Source organism: Homo sapiens, chromosome 10, assembly GCF_000001405.40.
Source record: "Homo sapiens chromosome 10, GRCh38.p14 Primary Assembly".
Taxonomy (NCBI): domain Eukaryota; kingdom Metazoa; phylum Chordata; class Mammalia; order Primates; family Hominidae; genus Homo; species Homo sapiens.
Genome location: NC_000010.11, coordinates 118,834,953 through 118,850,956, shown reverse-complemented (window position 1 = coordinate 118,850,956; position 16,004 = coordinate 118,834,953). Strand labels below are relative to the sequence as shown.

General features: G+C 47.0%; 1 long non-coding RNA gene across 2 annotated transcripts in view, besides 2 other annotated features; it reads left to right on the top strand.

Annotated features, from left to right (window-relative positions):
* LINC03036 (long intergenic non-protein coding RNA 3036) overlaps positions 1 to 16,004 on the top strand; it is a 245,028-nt gene that overhangs the window by 178,615 nt on the left and 50,409 nt on the right. The window lies entirely within an intron of this gene.
* Positions 6,507 to 7,006: an enhancer, noted in NCBI's record as "H3K4me1 hESC enhancer chr10:120603463-120603962 (GRCh37/hg19 assembly coordinates)". NCBI's record gives its function as "activates a minimal SCP1, AML or CMV promoter by ChIP-STARR-seq in naive H9 embryonic stem cells {active_cell/tissue: H9 hESC(naive)}" and the evidence as "EXISTENCE:reporter gene assay evidence [ECO:0000049][PMID:30033119]".
* Positions 7,007 to 7,508: an enhancer, noted in NCBI's record as "H3K4me1 hESC enhancer chr10:120602961-120603462 (GRCh37/hg19 assembly coordinates)". NCBI's record gives its function as "activates a minimal SCP1, AML or CMV promoter by ChIP-STARR-seq in naive H9 embryonic stem cells {active_cell/tissue: H9 hESC(naive)}" and the evidence as "EXISTENCE:reporter gene assay evidence [ECO:0000049][PMID:30033119]".

Below are 16,004 nucleotides of genomic sequence, written 5' to 3'. Positions count from 1 at the left end.
AGGAAACTACCAAGTTGAATATCTGCCAAAATATTATTCCAAGTTTGTGCAAGAAATGTTTACCTTTTTGTAAGTAAGAAGCCACCTGAATTTCTGTAGATCTTAACAGGCTGTGTATATAGTATATGGCTTGTATATGTACTTGATTATACCAAGTAATAATCCCAATTAACCCGGTTCTACCCCAGCCTTACACATAGGATCTTTAGCCCTGTTATAAAACCACCCAAGCAATTTAGGGAGTTCCCATAAAGCAACTTCAACAAACTGAGGATCAAGTCCTCTCCCACCAGGTGGCGCCACGGGCTACCCAAGGTTCTGCTAGGCATCTGCCATCTTTTTGGCCAGGCCTCCCCTGGGTACTACCATCATCCCTCATTGAGGCCCAGGCCCTGGGTCTTCCAGGGGTCAATACATTCAGGGTCAGAGGAGTTGCAAGGCATCAGGCTGAGGGCTTTATGGAGTTCTTACAAAACAGACCATGTGCTCTTTCTTCCAAGAGCTAGTGGTTTGAGAGGCTGCCTGCCAGTCATTGTTTTAAGTACTTTACATGTCTAGTCATGTATGATCTCTTATTCTTGTTCTTGCTTCTCCATTTTTTTATAATGGAAAATTGAACATATGCAAAATCAGATAGGATAATATAATAAATTCCATGTTTCCATCATCAAGGTTTAACAATGATCAATTCATAGCTAATCTTATTTCCTCCCATATTATTTGTTTAAAAAATAACACATATCAGTGCATTTTTAATGCTTAATTTTTTGTTTTTTTTTAAATTCACAAATAATGTATATATTATGGGGTACAATGTGATGGTTTGAAATATGTTTATAATATGAAATGATTACATCAGGCTAATTAACAAATTCATTGGCTCACATACTTGTCTTTTTGTGGTGAAAACATTTAAAATCTACGCTTTTAGCAATTTTGAAATATACAGTGCATTATTATGTATTGTATGCATCACTCTGCAATAGATCACTAAAGCTTATTCTTCCTAACTGAAGTTTTGTACCCTTTGATCAGTATCTCCCCTTTCCCCATCCACCCCGTCTTCTAGCCTCTGATAACCACCATTCAACTTTCTACTTCTATGAGTTCAACTGTTTTAGATTTCACATATAAATGAGAGCATGCAGTATATTTGTCTTTCTGTACCTGGCTTATTTCACTTATCCTCCAGGTTCACCCATGTTATGGAAAATGACAGGATTTCCTTCATTATGGCTGAATAATATTCTATTGTGTGTATATAGCATGTTTTCCTTGTCTGTGATTAATCTGATGATGGATACCTAGGTTGCTTCTGTATCTTGGCTATTGTGAATAATGCTGCAATGAACATAGGAGTACAGGTACATCTTCAGCATACTGCTTTCAATTCCTTTGGATATATACCCAGAAGTGGGAGTACTCGATCATATGGTAGCTCTATTTTTAGTTTTCTGAGGAATCTCCATACTGTTTTCCATAATGGCTGTATTAATTTACATTCCCACCAACAGTGCAGCAGTGTTCCCTTTTCTCCACAACCTTCCTAAAACTTATCTTTCATCTTTTGAATGATAGCCATTCTAAGAGGTGTGAGGTGATATCATTGTGGTTTTAAATTTTATTTCCCTGATGACCAGTGATAATTAGCATTTTTTTTCATATCCCTGTTGGCCATTTGGATGTCTTCTTTTGAGAAGTGTCTATTTAGGTCCTTTGCCCAATTTCTTTCTTTCTTTTTTTTGAGACGGAGTGCAGTGGCACAATCTTGGCTCACTGCAAGCTCCACCTCCTGGGTTCACGCCATTCTCCTGCCTCAGCCTCCTGAGTAGCTGGGACTATAGGTGCCCGCCACCATGCCGGGCTAATTTTTTGTATTTTTAGTAGAGACAGGGTTTCACTGTGTTAGCCAGGTTGGTCTCGATCTCCTGACCTCGTGATCCGCCCGCCTCGGCCTCCCAAAGTGCTGGGATTACAGGCGTGAGCCACCGCGCCAGGCCCTTTGCCCAATTTCTGATTGGGTTCCTCCCATATTATTTTGAAGCAAATCCCTAACATCCTGTTTTATTTGTAAACATTTTAGCATGTATCTGAGATAAGGACGCATCACATAAGGACTCTATTTGTAAAAAAACAGACAAAAAAAAAAGTCCATAAAAGCATTATCACCTCTAAAAGTGATTAATAATGATTTCTCAGTATCATCGAGTATCAAGTCAATGTTCAGATTTCTAGTTACTTCATAGATATCATACTTTTTAAACAGTTTATTTGAATCAGGATCCATAAAAAGTCAGTATATTGTGATTGGTTCATTTGTTTCTTAAGTTTTTGTTTATTCTGTTGTTTCCTCCCTCCATTCCTTTTTTTTCCTCTTGCAATTTAATCATGGAAGAAACCAGGTTGTTTGCCCCATAGGGCTTCCTCCAATCTGGGTTTTGCTGTTGCACCTGCTTGCTGTCCTTTAACACATTCCTTGGTTTGTTGTATTTTCTATAAACTGGTAGTTGAATCTAGAAGCTCCAGCTGATTCAGGTTCATTTTTTAAAAAAAATCACTACTTCATAGGTGTTGGTGTGATCTTCTACCAGGAGGCACACAGTGTCTGATTCTCTCTCTCTCTCATGTTAGCAGCCATTGAGGATCAATGCTTCAATGGTTAATGAATGAATCTGAATTCACTAGGGATTACAAAATGGTGACATTCGAATTCCATCATTCTTTCTTATTTACTAGCTGGGATACTTCTAGAAAGAGAAACTTAACCCCCATCAACTCTTGAGTTCCCTGGTGGCACAATCCTTATTGGAAAGACAGGTTAAATATTTAATTCTTTCAATTTAATCAGTGTTTTTTTTTTTTTTTTCGTTGTTTGTTTTTTTTTAGACAGGGTCTCTCTCTGGTTGCCCAGGCTGGAGTGTAGCGGCACAATCTTGGCTCACTGCAGTCTCAACGTCCGGGGCTCAGGTGATTCTCCCATCTCAGCCTCCCAACTTGCTGGGACTACAGGCACACGCCACCACACCTAGCTAACTTTTTTGTTTTATTTTTGGTAGAGACAGGGTTTTGCCATGTTTCCCAGGCTGTTCTCAAACTCCTGGACTCAAGCAATCCAAAGTGCCTCGGCCTCCCAAAGTGCTGAGATTACAGGCATAAGCCACCTTGCCCTGCCTTTAATCAGTTTTAATCAACTAATAAATGGGTTCCCCAGCATCCTACAATGACAATCAGTTAGTTGTTTTAGTAGCATTATGGACTTCATGGGTTTCAATGTATTTGCTGTGTTTCCATCCACAGCAGTTTATTACCCTTATTGATGTTCAGACTTTCCCAACTCTGGCCAGTGGCAGTTTCTTCAAGTTAGCCTCTGAGTCCTGTTGTCTTGACTCTTAAGTTTTAGTTTATTCTGTTGTTTCCTGCCTCCATCCCCTGTTTTCCTCCTGCAACGTAATCGTGGAAGAAACCAGGTTGTTTTCCTCGTAGGGCTTCCTCCAGTCTGGGTTTTGCTGTTACATCTGCTTGGTGTCCTTTAACATGTTCCTTGGTTTGTTGTATTTTCTATAAACTAGTAGATGAATGTTGATACATTTGTGTCCTCATGAGTCTCATCTTGTATATTTCCTGAACCAGTTCTGGAACCAGTCATTTCCGAGTTCCTTTAGAAGGGAAATGGTATTTCAAATGCCCCATCTAGCTGTGAGGGATGCTTATTTCTCCTGGATTGGTGATTGTTTCTAGGCCTTTTCAGTGAGTAAATCTTGTAAATAGTTCTTTTCTTTTTAAAGATAAAATATATCATAAATACTTACAGGGCTGGGCGCGGTGGCTCACGCCTGTAATCCCAGCACTTTGGGAGGCCAAGGTGGGTGGTTCACCTGAGGTTGGGAGTTTGAGGCCAGCCTGACCAACATGGTGAAACCCCATCTCTACTAAAAATACAAAATTAGCCGGGCGTGGTGGCGCATGCCTGTAATCCCAGCTCCTCAGGAGGCTGAGGCAGGAGAATCACTTGAACCGGGAGGTGGAGGTTGCAGTGAGCCGAGATTGAGCCACTGCACTCCAGCCTGGGCAACTAGAGCGAAATAACGTCTCAAAAAAACAAACAAAACAAAACAAAAACAACTTACTGATGCCTCCTACTCAAATTTGACCACAGATCCTTTACTAGATTTCTTCTCTCTTACATATTTGTCCATTTTCTCCTATGCCAAGGATCTGAGAATGATAGAATTAGAAAATCATAAAATCATTCACTTTTTAAAATCCCATGATACTGCTTGAGCATCCCAGATCAGAAAATCCAAAATTCAAAATGCTCCACTATCTGAAACTCTTTGAGCACTGACATCTGACATGACTCTCAAAGGAAATGCCCATTGGAGCGTTTTGGATTTCAGGTTTTCTGATTTGGGATGCTCAACCAGTTAGTCTAATGCAAATATTCAAAAATCTGAAAAAATAAAAAATCTGAAACACTTCTGATCTCAGGCATTTCAGGTAAGGGATACCCAACCTGTACACACAGGTTAGTCAAATAACTTATACAAGGTCTCATGGGTATTAAGAGGTGGGCAGCAGGACTAGGCTTAGGCTGCCTGGCCTCAGAACCTGTTAATGAGTATGCACTAAGCTACCTTTCTCTTCCCAGCTTCTGCTGTCTGTAAAATTCCATCAGGAATCCACAGGGGCCAGCTGGGGAGCCAACCCATACAAACAACAAATACCACATCGAGCTCTCTCCCCTCCAAAAATCTGTTTCTGGGGCAATAACTTCCACCTAGCCTCCCTTTTTCCCCATGGAATGGATCTCAAGATGCAGCTTGGCCTTCTTGCAAACACAGATCTGGTGGAACCACCATTGGCTTTCCCTGACACGCCCATGCAGGTCTGTCCTCACAGATCTCAGTGGGACTCCAGCTGCTTTGACATTGCCTCCCCGCCATTTTCCCTTTTTTCTTATTCAAGGCTAAGGCATCCCCAGCAAGTCTTGACTTGACCCTTGCTTAGTTTGATTTGAGGGCTGAGGCATGAGATATTTCAGGATACTGAGGGTCATATCATGGTGGCATAATGAAAAGAACACAGGATTCAGATGAGCTGACTTGATTTTCAGCCTTAGCTCTGCCTAAGTAACTTCCCCAAGTCTCAATTTTCTCAACTGTAAAGTGAGATGCTCTTATGGAAAGGTGGGATGATAACAGCTCCTCATACAGGGAAAAGGCTGTGCCTTGAATCCCTTGACCAATTGTTTTCCTTGGGGCCTCTGCACCCCGGGACTGAAGTGGTGGCTGGGAAGGGTTTGGGCACCAAACATCACTTGTTGCCAGTGGCAAATCAGGACCACAGTATCTGAATGGGAAAGGCTGTTAGAAAATTTATTTTGCCTCTAACTGCCTCAGTAACCCGGCAGCCTGCTTGGTCCCCTGTGCAGTGGATGGGCTAAAATAATTGCTCAAGTACTTTGTTAAAAGAAAAAGGCTCTCCACGTTTCCATTAACTCCCTGCGTGGGGCAGTTCCAGCCCACTGCTCCAGGTAGCATTTACAGTTCAATTTCACAGTCATGATGGACTGAAATACCTGAAACTCACTTCCGCTCCTCTCCACAAGCCACATGCATTCACAAACAGCTGAGGTTCATCACCGGTCCTTTCTTGTTAATCATCTCCTCCTCCAGATCCTTTCCCCACCTCCTCCTCTTCAAAGAGAGCCATGACTTTGAATTTTAAATGTCCCAAGAAGTGCTTTTATCCACAATGGGGACTGATGAGTTAATTTCTTAGAAAATAAACTGAGCACACAGGAGCTGTTAAAATTCCCTTCCTCCAATGCCAACATCACAAAGAATAGCACAGTAGCCCATAAATCTACTACTTGCATATGTTTACTTAATCACATTGGAATTCTCTTTGAACTTGACCCCAGGGATAGAGATTACAGAATTGGCTGGTAGCTAAAATAATCCGCTGAAAGAGTTCAGTGTCATGAGAACTTCAGGATAAAATGCAGAAGGAGCTGCTTGTGAAAAGCACCAAACCAATGTGACTTCTAAACCATTCAATTCTGACAACAGGCTTACCCAGGCCTGGGTGCGCCTTCCCCACTTTAGGCTGTGGTTGCAAACTGGCTGTGAGGATAAGATTTTCTTTGGAAATAAATACTTGCCCCTACCTTGAATTTCCAAGCAGTCTGAAGTGTCTCATCTCTAGGAAAGGCCCTGAGGCTAGGCTCCTTAAGGCACAGTGGTAGAGTGGATAGTGCTGTCTTTAGAAATGAGTGCAGTCAGTCGGGCGCAGTGGCTTATGCCTATAATCCCAGCACTTTGGGAGGCTGAGATGGGTGGATCACGAGGTCAGGAGATCAAGACCATCCTGGCTAACATGGTGAAACCCTATCTCTACTAAAAATACAAAAAATTAGCCGGGCGTGGTGGTGGGCCCCTGTAGTCCCAGCTACTCAGGAGGCTGAAGCAGGAGAATGGCGTGAACCCAGGAGGCGGAGCTGGCAGTGAGCCGAGATCGCGCCACTGCACTCCAGCCTGGGCGACAAAGCGAGACTCCGTCTCAAAAAAAAAAAAAAAAAAAAAAAGAGAGAAATGAGTGCAGTCTGGGAATCAGAGAGCTAAGGGCTGGGCAGGCCTAAGGACAAGCCAAGAGGAGCAAGGGTGGAATGAAGTGATGGACACAAGACCACCACTACTGACAGGGCCCAGACCCGCCCCCCCACCCCAGGTCATTGCTATTAAGAGTTGCTTGCCTCATGTTACAGGATTTTTGGGGTGTTGTTTTTCTGGCTGGAAACCTCTGTGCCAGTGGTGCCTTTGCCCAAGTTTCACTCAGGCCCGCTGGGTTCGTTTCACCCAGTTGGCCTGGCAGGCTGCACTTGGCTTATGCTACTGGCCTGGGACTCACCTCTGCCAAGGGCAAGTCAGGTGTGGAATGGCAAGGGGTGTATGAGAGAGCATGGGGTCCGGCCACTGCGCACAGTCAGACATGCTGGCTGCTGCAGCAAGGCAGGCAGCTCCAGGTGCTGGCATGGGTGCCGGCTCACTGCTAGGTTATGGCAGGACCAGGCACACCACAACCTGCTTCCATGGCTGGCCCAAGGGAACACAGTGATGCCCTGAAGGTTGGAGATACCATGAACCACAGGGCCCCAAAGAGTGAGTCACAGCCCTGGTTCAGGAGCTCCCAAGTCTGGGCCCCTGAAGGGCCGTAGCTCTTCTTTCCTTCTCTTTGCCCATCCTGTAGCTCTTCTTTCCTTCTCACCCACAATGTGGTGAGCAAGGGGCATGTCTCAGCCCTGTTTGTGTTACAGCTCTTTTAGTTTTACCATTCAGCCGGCCCCAAGTTCTTGCCCTGTGACCAGGAAGAATGAGGTATGCAGACAAGTGGAGGGTGACTACGTTGAAGAGGAGCTTCACTGAGCCATAGAATAGCTCAGAGGAAACCTACAGGGGGCAGCTCCTTTCTGCAGCCAGAGTGTCCCGACCAGTGTTCAGCTCCTAGCAGAGAGGGTAGCTCCTCTCTGCTATGCAAGTTGTCCTGGCAAGTGTTCAGCTATCAGCAGAGAGGGTAGCTCCTCTCTGCTATGCAAGTTGTCCCAACCAGTGTTCAGCTCCTAGCAGAGAGGGTAGCTCCTCTCTGCTATGCAAGTTGTCCTGGCAGGTGTTCAGCTATCAGCAGAGAGGGTAGATCCTCTCTGCTATGCAAGTTGTCCTGACTAGTGTTCAGCTCCTAGAAGAGAGGGTAGCTCCTCTCTGCTATGCAAGTTGTCCCGACCAGTGTTCAGCTCCTAGCAGAGAGGGTAGCTCCTCTCTGCTATGCAGGTTGTCCTGGCAAGTGTTCAGCTATCAGCAGAGAGGGTAGTTCCTCTCTGCAGCTGGTCTTCCCATTATCTGTGCAGCTCTCAGCAGAGAGGAGGCCCTAGAGTGGGTAGCTCCTCCCTGCAGCTGGTCATCCCAATGTCTGCTCAGCTCTGGCTAAGCCTGGGGTTTTTATGGGCCTCAGAGGGGAGGAAGTGTATGCTGATTGGCCCATGGGCAGCCATAGGTGGGTCTGGAAAAGGCACCACAAGTTCCCACTCCAGTCTGTGGGACTGGCAGCCCAGCCCTCCCTGGCCTAAAGGTGGGGCCTCACCAGGACCATCCCCATCCACCCAGGAACCTGTCTGCCTCCTGCTGCTGTTCTTGGTGCCCAGGCTGTAGGTGCCAAGGGGTGCCTGCAGGCCAGTGCCGAGCTGCCCTCAGCCCCCACTCAGCTTCCCTCCTATGTTCGTGGCACCCAAAGTCCAGAGGGGGCTGAAGAGGCAGGGGGCTGGCATGTCAGCACTGCTCCGAGTGTGTGCACACCCAGCTGGGCCACAACAGCACCCAGTCTTGGCCCTGACTTTGCTCTGAGATTGGAGCAGGCACTGACAGCAGGGAGAAGCCAGGCAGCAGGAGCAGGCGCTTGCAAGCCGGTGAGGGTGGCAGCGGCAGGGGGTCGGGGGGTACTTGGGCCTTCCTGGGCCCCCAAGAGAGCAGGGATGCCTGGTTCCACAGCCATGGTTTGGGCGGCTGCAGCTGCACCCGGGGGCGCTGGGCTCCTGCCTGATCCATGGAGCACGAGGCCCAGGTCTGCAGCTGCAGTTTCGGTGGCTGCAGCTATGCCTGGGAGGCTGGGGCTCCTGCCTGCTCCGTGGAGTGGGAGGCCCAGGTTTACAGCCAAGATTTGGGTGGCTGCAACTGTGTCCCTGGGAGGGTGGGGCTCCCACCTGCTCCTGGGCCCCAAGAACCTGGGTCAGCAGCCGTGGCTTGGGCGGCTGCAGCAACACCCAGGGAGCTCCCACCCCAACTTGGAAGGGGCTGGGCTCTCACTTGTCCTCGGCTCCTGCTGGCTCCACGAAGCATGCAGCCTTGGCTGTGCCTCCTTGCGTGGCCAGCGTGATGGCAGTGGCTGCTCCAGATGGCCTGCCGCTGCCATCACTGATACATGAGTGGATTAATGCAGGCATTGACACATTGTGGCCTGTGGGCCAAATCTAGACCTGTTTTGGTATAGCCTGTGAGCTAAGAATTTTAAAATATATTTTTAAATGGTGGGAGAAAAAAATAAAAAAAGTATTTTGTGCCATGTAAAACATATGAACTTCTACCTCTGTGTCTATAGAGTTTTATTGGAACACAACCATTCATTTATATAATGTCCAAGATTGCTTTTGTGCTGCGACGGCAGAGTTAAGAGGCTGCAATTGAGGTCTGTGTGCATGGCAGAGGCTAAAAGATTTGCTGTCTGGCCCTTTACAGAAAGAGTTTGCCAACCTGTGAATTAGGGTCATTTAGAAGTGTGGGTTTGAGACAACTGGGGCTCTGGATAGAATTAAGGCTGAGCGAAATGAGCCACGAACTAGCAGGTCTCAGCTAGGGCCAATTTCCTAATCTGTGAAATGGATGGATTAATATCACTCATCTCATAAGGCGGCTGCCTCCTAAAATCTGCTGACAGAAGGTTCATAAACGGTATGGATTTCAAGGCACTCGCACAGCTGGGAAGAGCCACAGATACTGGCTGGAGAATGGTTTCAGACCTGAGTCCTTGTCAGACCCACTTGCTGAGCTTTGAAGAACAGGAAGCCCTGGGCCGCGATTCCTTGGACATATCACTCTCTCCAGGTCTGGGGTGGGGCTGGGCATCTGTCCTGTCCACAAGCTGCCCAGTGATTCACACATTCAGGCCGGTGGGAAGCTGTGATTTGGCCCATGTGCCTCAAGGCATGGATGAGGAGACACAGGGGTTGATTACTCCTCTAGGCTCTGTCCTCCATGGTTCCTCCACCAGCACCCTTTCTTCCCGAGACCTCATGGCCCCACGTTTCTTCTCCTGTCCCCTCAGTGAGCTCAGTTTGTCCTGTGGCATGGCAGTTTGAGAACACCATTCTTTGGCCCTTGAGGCTGGGAGCTTTCTATGGCCGGGTGTGGGGGCGCACTTCGGTCTCCCCACCAAGGCCCTGGGGTGAGCCCACACTTGGTTCCACAGACAGCCCAGAGTGGGCAGCTGAGCCGCAGGGGTCAGGACAGCTGATGGGGTCAGGGGCACAGCTTTGACTCTCACTTGGCTCCTTCTCAACTGGGGTCACTCAGGTGAACCACTTAACAGTCCCCCACCCAACACACACCAGCCAAAATTTCCTCATCCATAATATATGGCTCCTACACCTGACTGGTTCTCTTCATCCTATGTGGCTGTTGTGGGGCCCAGAGAGACGACAGTCACAAAAGCACTCTGTCACTGGAGAACGCTGTGCAGGTGGAGCCGGGGCCCTTCAATATTCAAGAAATGAGTTCAAACTGGCCCGGAACCAAGGCAATGTGCACTCAGCCCACCCTCTGGCCATGTAGCCTTACCCTTCCCAAGCTACCCACCAAGGCTGTTGACCTTCCTCTCAATAAAGAGACATGGACATGGGCCTCGGTTGACCAACACTGAAAGTCCTGTGCCCTGGGAAACCTTTGCAGTGAATTCTTATAATTTTATGTTGCCTCAGCATCCATCTTGGATACACATTTAACTTTCTCCTACCAGAAGCAGGGCTCAGTTACTCTTGAGACTCTTGAGACAGTTTCCAGCTCCACACCCAAATGACTCAAGCCGCGGCTCCAGGTGAGAACTTAGAGGCCTCTCTCCCGCCCACCAGATGGGCTCCCCCGCCCCCGCCTTCCTGCTGCTTCCTTTAAACGGGCCATTCAGACAGCTGCCCATGAACTTAAGGTGACTCACTTCCTATTCCCTTATATACTACTCTTTGCCTCTCTGTCTCTCTCTGTCTCTGTATCTCTCTGTCTCTTTCCCTCTGCTTGACTCTTTGTTCCTGCATTCCATGACCCACGGACAGTGGACTGCCCTCCTTACCCATGGTGCCTTCCCTGCCCCGGATCTGTAAGTAAAAATATTTGAACTGACTTCCTGTCATGGTCGTGTATCGAACTTGCGCCTTCCATCTGAAGAACTGGGGGCTACCCCACTGGGTTTTCCCTGGGACATGGGAGTGGTGAGAAACACAAGGTTGGGCTTCCAGGAGGGCCAGAGTGACGGTCAGGTAGACACAAACTGGACACAGGTCAGACAAGACACAAGATCGTCTACCAGCATAAACACATTTCCTATGCCAGGCACCCTCCATTTGAAGGTTGGATAACCAGACATTAGGCCATCCGACAAGTAGAAGGATCGTGTGAAAGGCGTCCTGTAAACAACATGTTCACCTCCTCTTCATTTCTCATTAGGGCAGGGTTGCCAGCTGTGCTGGTACTGGAACCCCAATTTAGCTGAAGGCTCTCAGAACACCCCTCAATCCTGGGCAGATGGGATGGTTGGTCACCCCAGCTGGGCCTGACCCAGGGACTGAGCCTCTGCTCGCTGGCACAGGGTGGATCAGCTGGTTGTGATGGACAGGCAGGAGGCATGGCAAATTAGGGAAGTGACCTGTAAAGACTCCTTTCCTCCTGGCCATGACCTCTGCCCCACCCCCAGAGCCCCTCTTCTCCCAGGTCCCCCCTGAGTCCACACGGAACCTAATCTAAGCCTGCATTTGGAAATGGTCCAGTTTTCTCTCTCCCCTGCCCTCCTAAGTCTGAGTCACCATCACTTCTCACCTGGAGGGACTTCCAAACTCGTCCACCCATTTCCACTCTGTCCTTGTCCAATCTACTCTCCACACTGTCTACACAATCAACAAACCAATTGCCTCAAAATGCCAGTGTAATTATGTAGTCTATGCTTAAGGATTTTAGTGGCTAACCCGGTCCTCTTAGGATACAGACCTACCTCCTCACCTGGTGGGAGGGCCTGGCCCCATCCCTTCCTCCTCCCCAGGCTTCGTGCTATCCACCCCTACCCCTTGCTCACCCTGCTGATCTCCTTCCAGCTTTGGGGGCTGTTATGCACTGAACGTTTGTCCCCCTCAGATTCATACATTGAGACTCAATCCCCAATGTGATGGTATTTGGAGAAGGAGCCTTTGGGTGGTAATCAGGTGATGAGGGTAGATAGATCCCTTATGGGTGGGATTAGTATTAGTGGCTTTATAAGAAAAAACCAGAGAGCTAGCTCACCCTCTTTTCACCGTGGGAGAATGAAAAGTTGGAATTCTATAACCAAGAAGAGGGCGCTCACCAAAACCCAACTATGCTGGCATCCTGATCTCCAACTTCCAGCTTCCAGAACTGTGAGAAATAAATTTGTTGTTTATAAGCTTCCGAGTCTATGGTAATTTGTTATAGCAGCCTGAGTTGACTAAGAAAGGGACCTTCACACACATAACTCTGGTGCTTGGTCAGCTCTTCCTGCAAGGTTCGCCTGGTCAATTCCGTTCCTCTTTCAAGCCTCAGCATCAATATCATTTCCTCAAGGAAGCTTTGCTCAGCCTCCCTGATTGTACTGGTTTTACTGGTACTTATTCACAGCACGTAACACAAATGTAATTCTTACTTGTGTTTGTATGTGTGTGTCATTACTTGTCTTCCCTACAAGGCTAACTCCATGAAGGCAGGGATCACACTTCTTCCTGTATATCCCCTAAAGCAGGGATCAACAAACCTTTTTTGTAAAGGATCAGATAGGAAATATTTTAGGCTTTATAGGCCACATGGTCTCTGTTGAAACAACTCAACTCTGCTGTTGTAGCACCATAGCTATGGAGAACATGTAAATTGGCCAGGCACAGTGGCTCACGCCTGTAATCCCAGCACTTTGGGAGGCTGAGGCAGGCACATTACTTGAGGTCAGGAGTTCAAGACCAGCCTGGTCAACATGGTAAAACCCCATCTCTACTAAAAATACAAAAATTAGCCAGGCGTTGTGGCGGGTGCCTGTAATCCCAGCTACTCGGGAGGCTGAGGCATGAGAATCGCTTGAACCTAGGAGGCAGAGGTTGCAGTGAGCTGAGATCATGCCACTGTACTTCAGCCTGGGCAACAGAGTGAGACGCCATCTCAAAAAAAAAAAAAAAAAAAAAAGAACATGTAAAGCAATGTAACCAATACGGTTTGGATCTGTGTCCCTGCTCAAATCTCATGTCAAATTGTAATTTCCAGTGTTGGAGGTGGAGCCTGGTGGGAGATGATTGGATCATGGGGTTGGATTTCCCCTTTGGTACCATTCTCATGATAGTGAGTTATCATGAGATCTGGTTGTTTAAAAGTGTGTAGCACCTCCCCCTTCTCTCTTTCTTCCTCCTGCTCCAGCCATGTAGGTTGTGCCTGCTTCCCCTTCATCTTCTGCCATGATTGTAAGTTTCCTGAGGCCTCCCAGCCATACTTCCTGTATTGCCTGCACAACCGTGAGCACATTAAACCTCTTTTGTTTATAAATTACCCAGTCGCAGGTATTTCTTTATAGCAATGCAAGAATGGACTAACACAGTGATTGCGTTCCAATAAAACTTTACAAAAACAGGTGGCGAGTTGGATTTGGCCCATAAGCTGTAGTTTGTCAACTCCTACCTTGGAGCAGTTTTTCAGCATCACCTGGAAACTTAAGTTCTTGGGCCCTGCCCTATATCTGCTGAATCAAACAAATATTTTCCTGTTCATAGCCTTTACTTTCTTCTGGGATTCCAATTATATGTGTATTATTGCTATAGGTTGCTTGAAGTTGTTCCAGAGATCACTGATGCTCTTAAAGTTTTTAAAATCCCTTTTTAAAAAACCTATTTCATTTTGGATAATTTCTATTGCTGTGTTTTCAAATTCATTAATCTTCTGCAATGTCTAATCTACTAATCACATCCAGTGTTGCTTTTGTTCTGAGATGTTGTAGTTTTAATCTCTAGAAGTTTAATTTTGGTCATTTAAAAAATATATTCCATATGTAACTTTTTGAACATATGGAATACAATTATAATTGTTTTAATGTCCTTGTGTGCTATTTCTGACATCTGTGTCATTTCTGGGTTTTGATTGCTTGATTTTTCTCATTAGGGTTCTATTTTTCCTCTTCTTTGCATGCCTTGTAATTTTTGATTGGATGTCAGATGGTGTGAACTTTACCTTGTTGGGTGTTGGATATCTTCAAATTCTTGACCTTTACAGTTTGACCCCTTTGGGTTTTGCTTTTACGATTTGGTAGGCAGGGCTCAGGCTGGCATTAATTATTCCCCACTACTGAGGCCAGACTTTTCTGAATAGTCAATGCCCATGAATTATGAAGTTTTCCAGTCGGGCTGGTGGGAATAGGCACTATTTCTGGCTCTGCTTTGAGAAATTCTCTCTGTGGCCTTGGGTAGTTTCTTCCCAGGCATATACTGCAGCCCTGACTACTCCATCTTGGTCAAACACATGTCCGTAAGCAAACGTTTTGATCTTTAATATTCTGATTGGACAGAAGAAGTAATTCAGATCTTACAAATTTTAGCACATTCGATTCCTCAAAAACTCCAATGAAGTAGTTATTTTCATTAAAATAGCTGAGAAAAATAAGGCTCAGACAAGTGACGTGACTGCTTGTTAGACTCCCAAGCTCACCTATTTCACCACTTGATGTTGTTCTCTTTACACGTCTGCCAGCCCCTGCTGGAATGTCTCCTCTTCAGACCAAAGCACCCCTGGGAATGTAGTAGGTTAAGTTAGATCCTCCTCACTACTCAGAGTGAGGTCTGGGGGCCAGGATCATTGGCATCGTAGGAGCTTGTTAGAGATGCAGAGGCCCAGCCGTGCTGAATTAGAGGCTGCATGGTAGCAGATCCCTGGTGAGCATTACTGTTTGAGACACATTAAATTTGGAAAACAATTCCTGGGCCTTGATCACTTGAGCCCAGTCCTGGCTCCCTGCCAGAAAAGACACACTCAGAAGCCAGGACCACATGCAGGGTCACTTTAGGTGCCCATATCTCCTCCAATGGTAGCTCATGTGCCAGGCATAGCCCACTCTGGACAAGGCTTCTGGAGGAGCACACTGGACCCAGCCTCTGCCCTCTGGGAGTTTGCCTAGCCCATCAATTTCCAGAAAGCTGTGACTCATCTTGCTTCATCCATATCCCAGGTGCTGTCCTGGCTGGAGGCCAGAGGACTGAGCGTGGGAGAACTAACCAGGAAGGCCTTTGGGGAAGAGGTGGGGAGGGAGAGGAGATGGATGGCAGTGGGCAGGTGCCATCTCTGCAGGGCTGGCCAGGCTGGCTGAGTCTGGCCACTGCAGCACTGCCAGCTGCTCTTCTCAGCCCTTCAGCTCAACCACAGCTAGAGGCAGTACAGGTCACCTCCACACTTACCTTCTTATGCTTCCTCTCTGCCTTTCTGGGAGAACATTTCTGGAAATCCTCTGGATTCCTTGTCAGTAGGGCGGGACTGCCAAGCTGATGGTGCTAGCAGACCAAAACCACAAGAGAAGGAGAAAGCGGAGCTGCTAAAGGGGCTGTTTATTTCTTACTTCCTCTGAGGTCCTTACCTCACAATTCAAACAAATTGCCCCCTGGAAGAGGGTTATCCTAAGGTCCAGAGAACTGACAGAGGCTTAGCAGAGTTCTAGGTCAGCATCCTCTTCCCAAGCAATCACGCTGTTTCTATAAAGACAGAACTCCAGGTGCAAATAGAATTGTTCTCCTTATCAGGAGACTCTCAATCCCTGTCTAGGCAGGGGGTTCTTAGGCCCCTCTAACCAGTACCCACACCTACACAATACTTACAAAACATATTGTAGAACACATACTAGGGCAAAATGGAACAGGCACAGATGTGAAGGCATGGAAACCTGGCTTTGGATCTGGAACTGCATGGGGTATTAGCTGTATGACTTTCAGGAAGCTTAGGAGCTTTAAGCCTCAAATTCTTCACCTGTACAGTGGGGTGATAATAAGACCCACCTAAAAGAGTTTCAATAAAGTGAGTTAGTGTACGGACCAGGCATACAGCAAGTGCCCCCATAAATGGCAGCGTTCATTATTGCAGAATTACAGAAAGATGTAAGGACACACTGATAACAGACAAAGGCATCTTTGCCACTGTCCTGCTGCTGTTATCATTAGTTTAATGGCT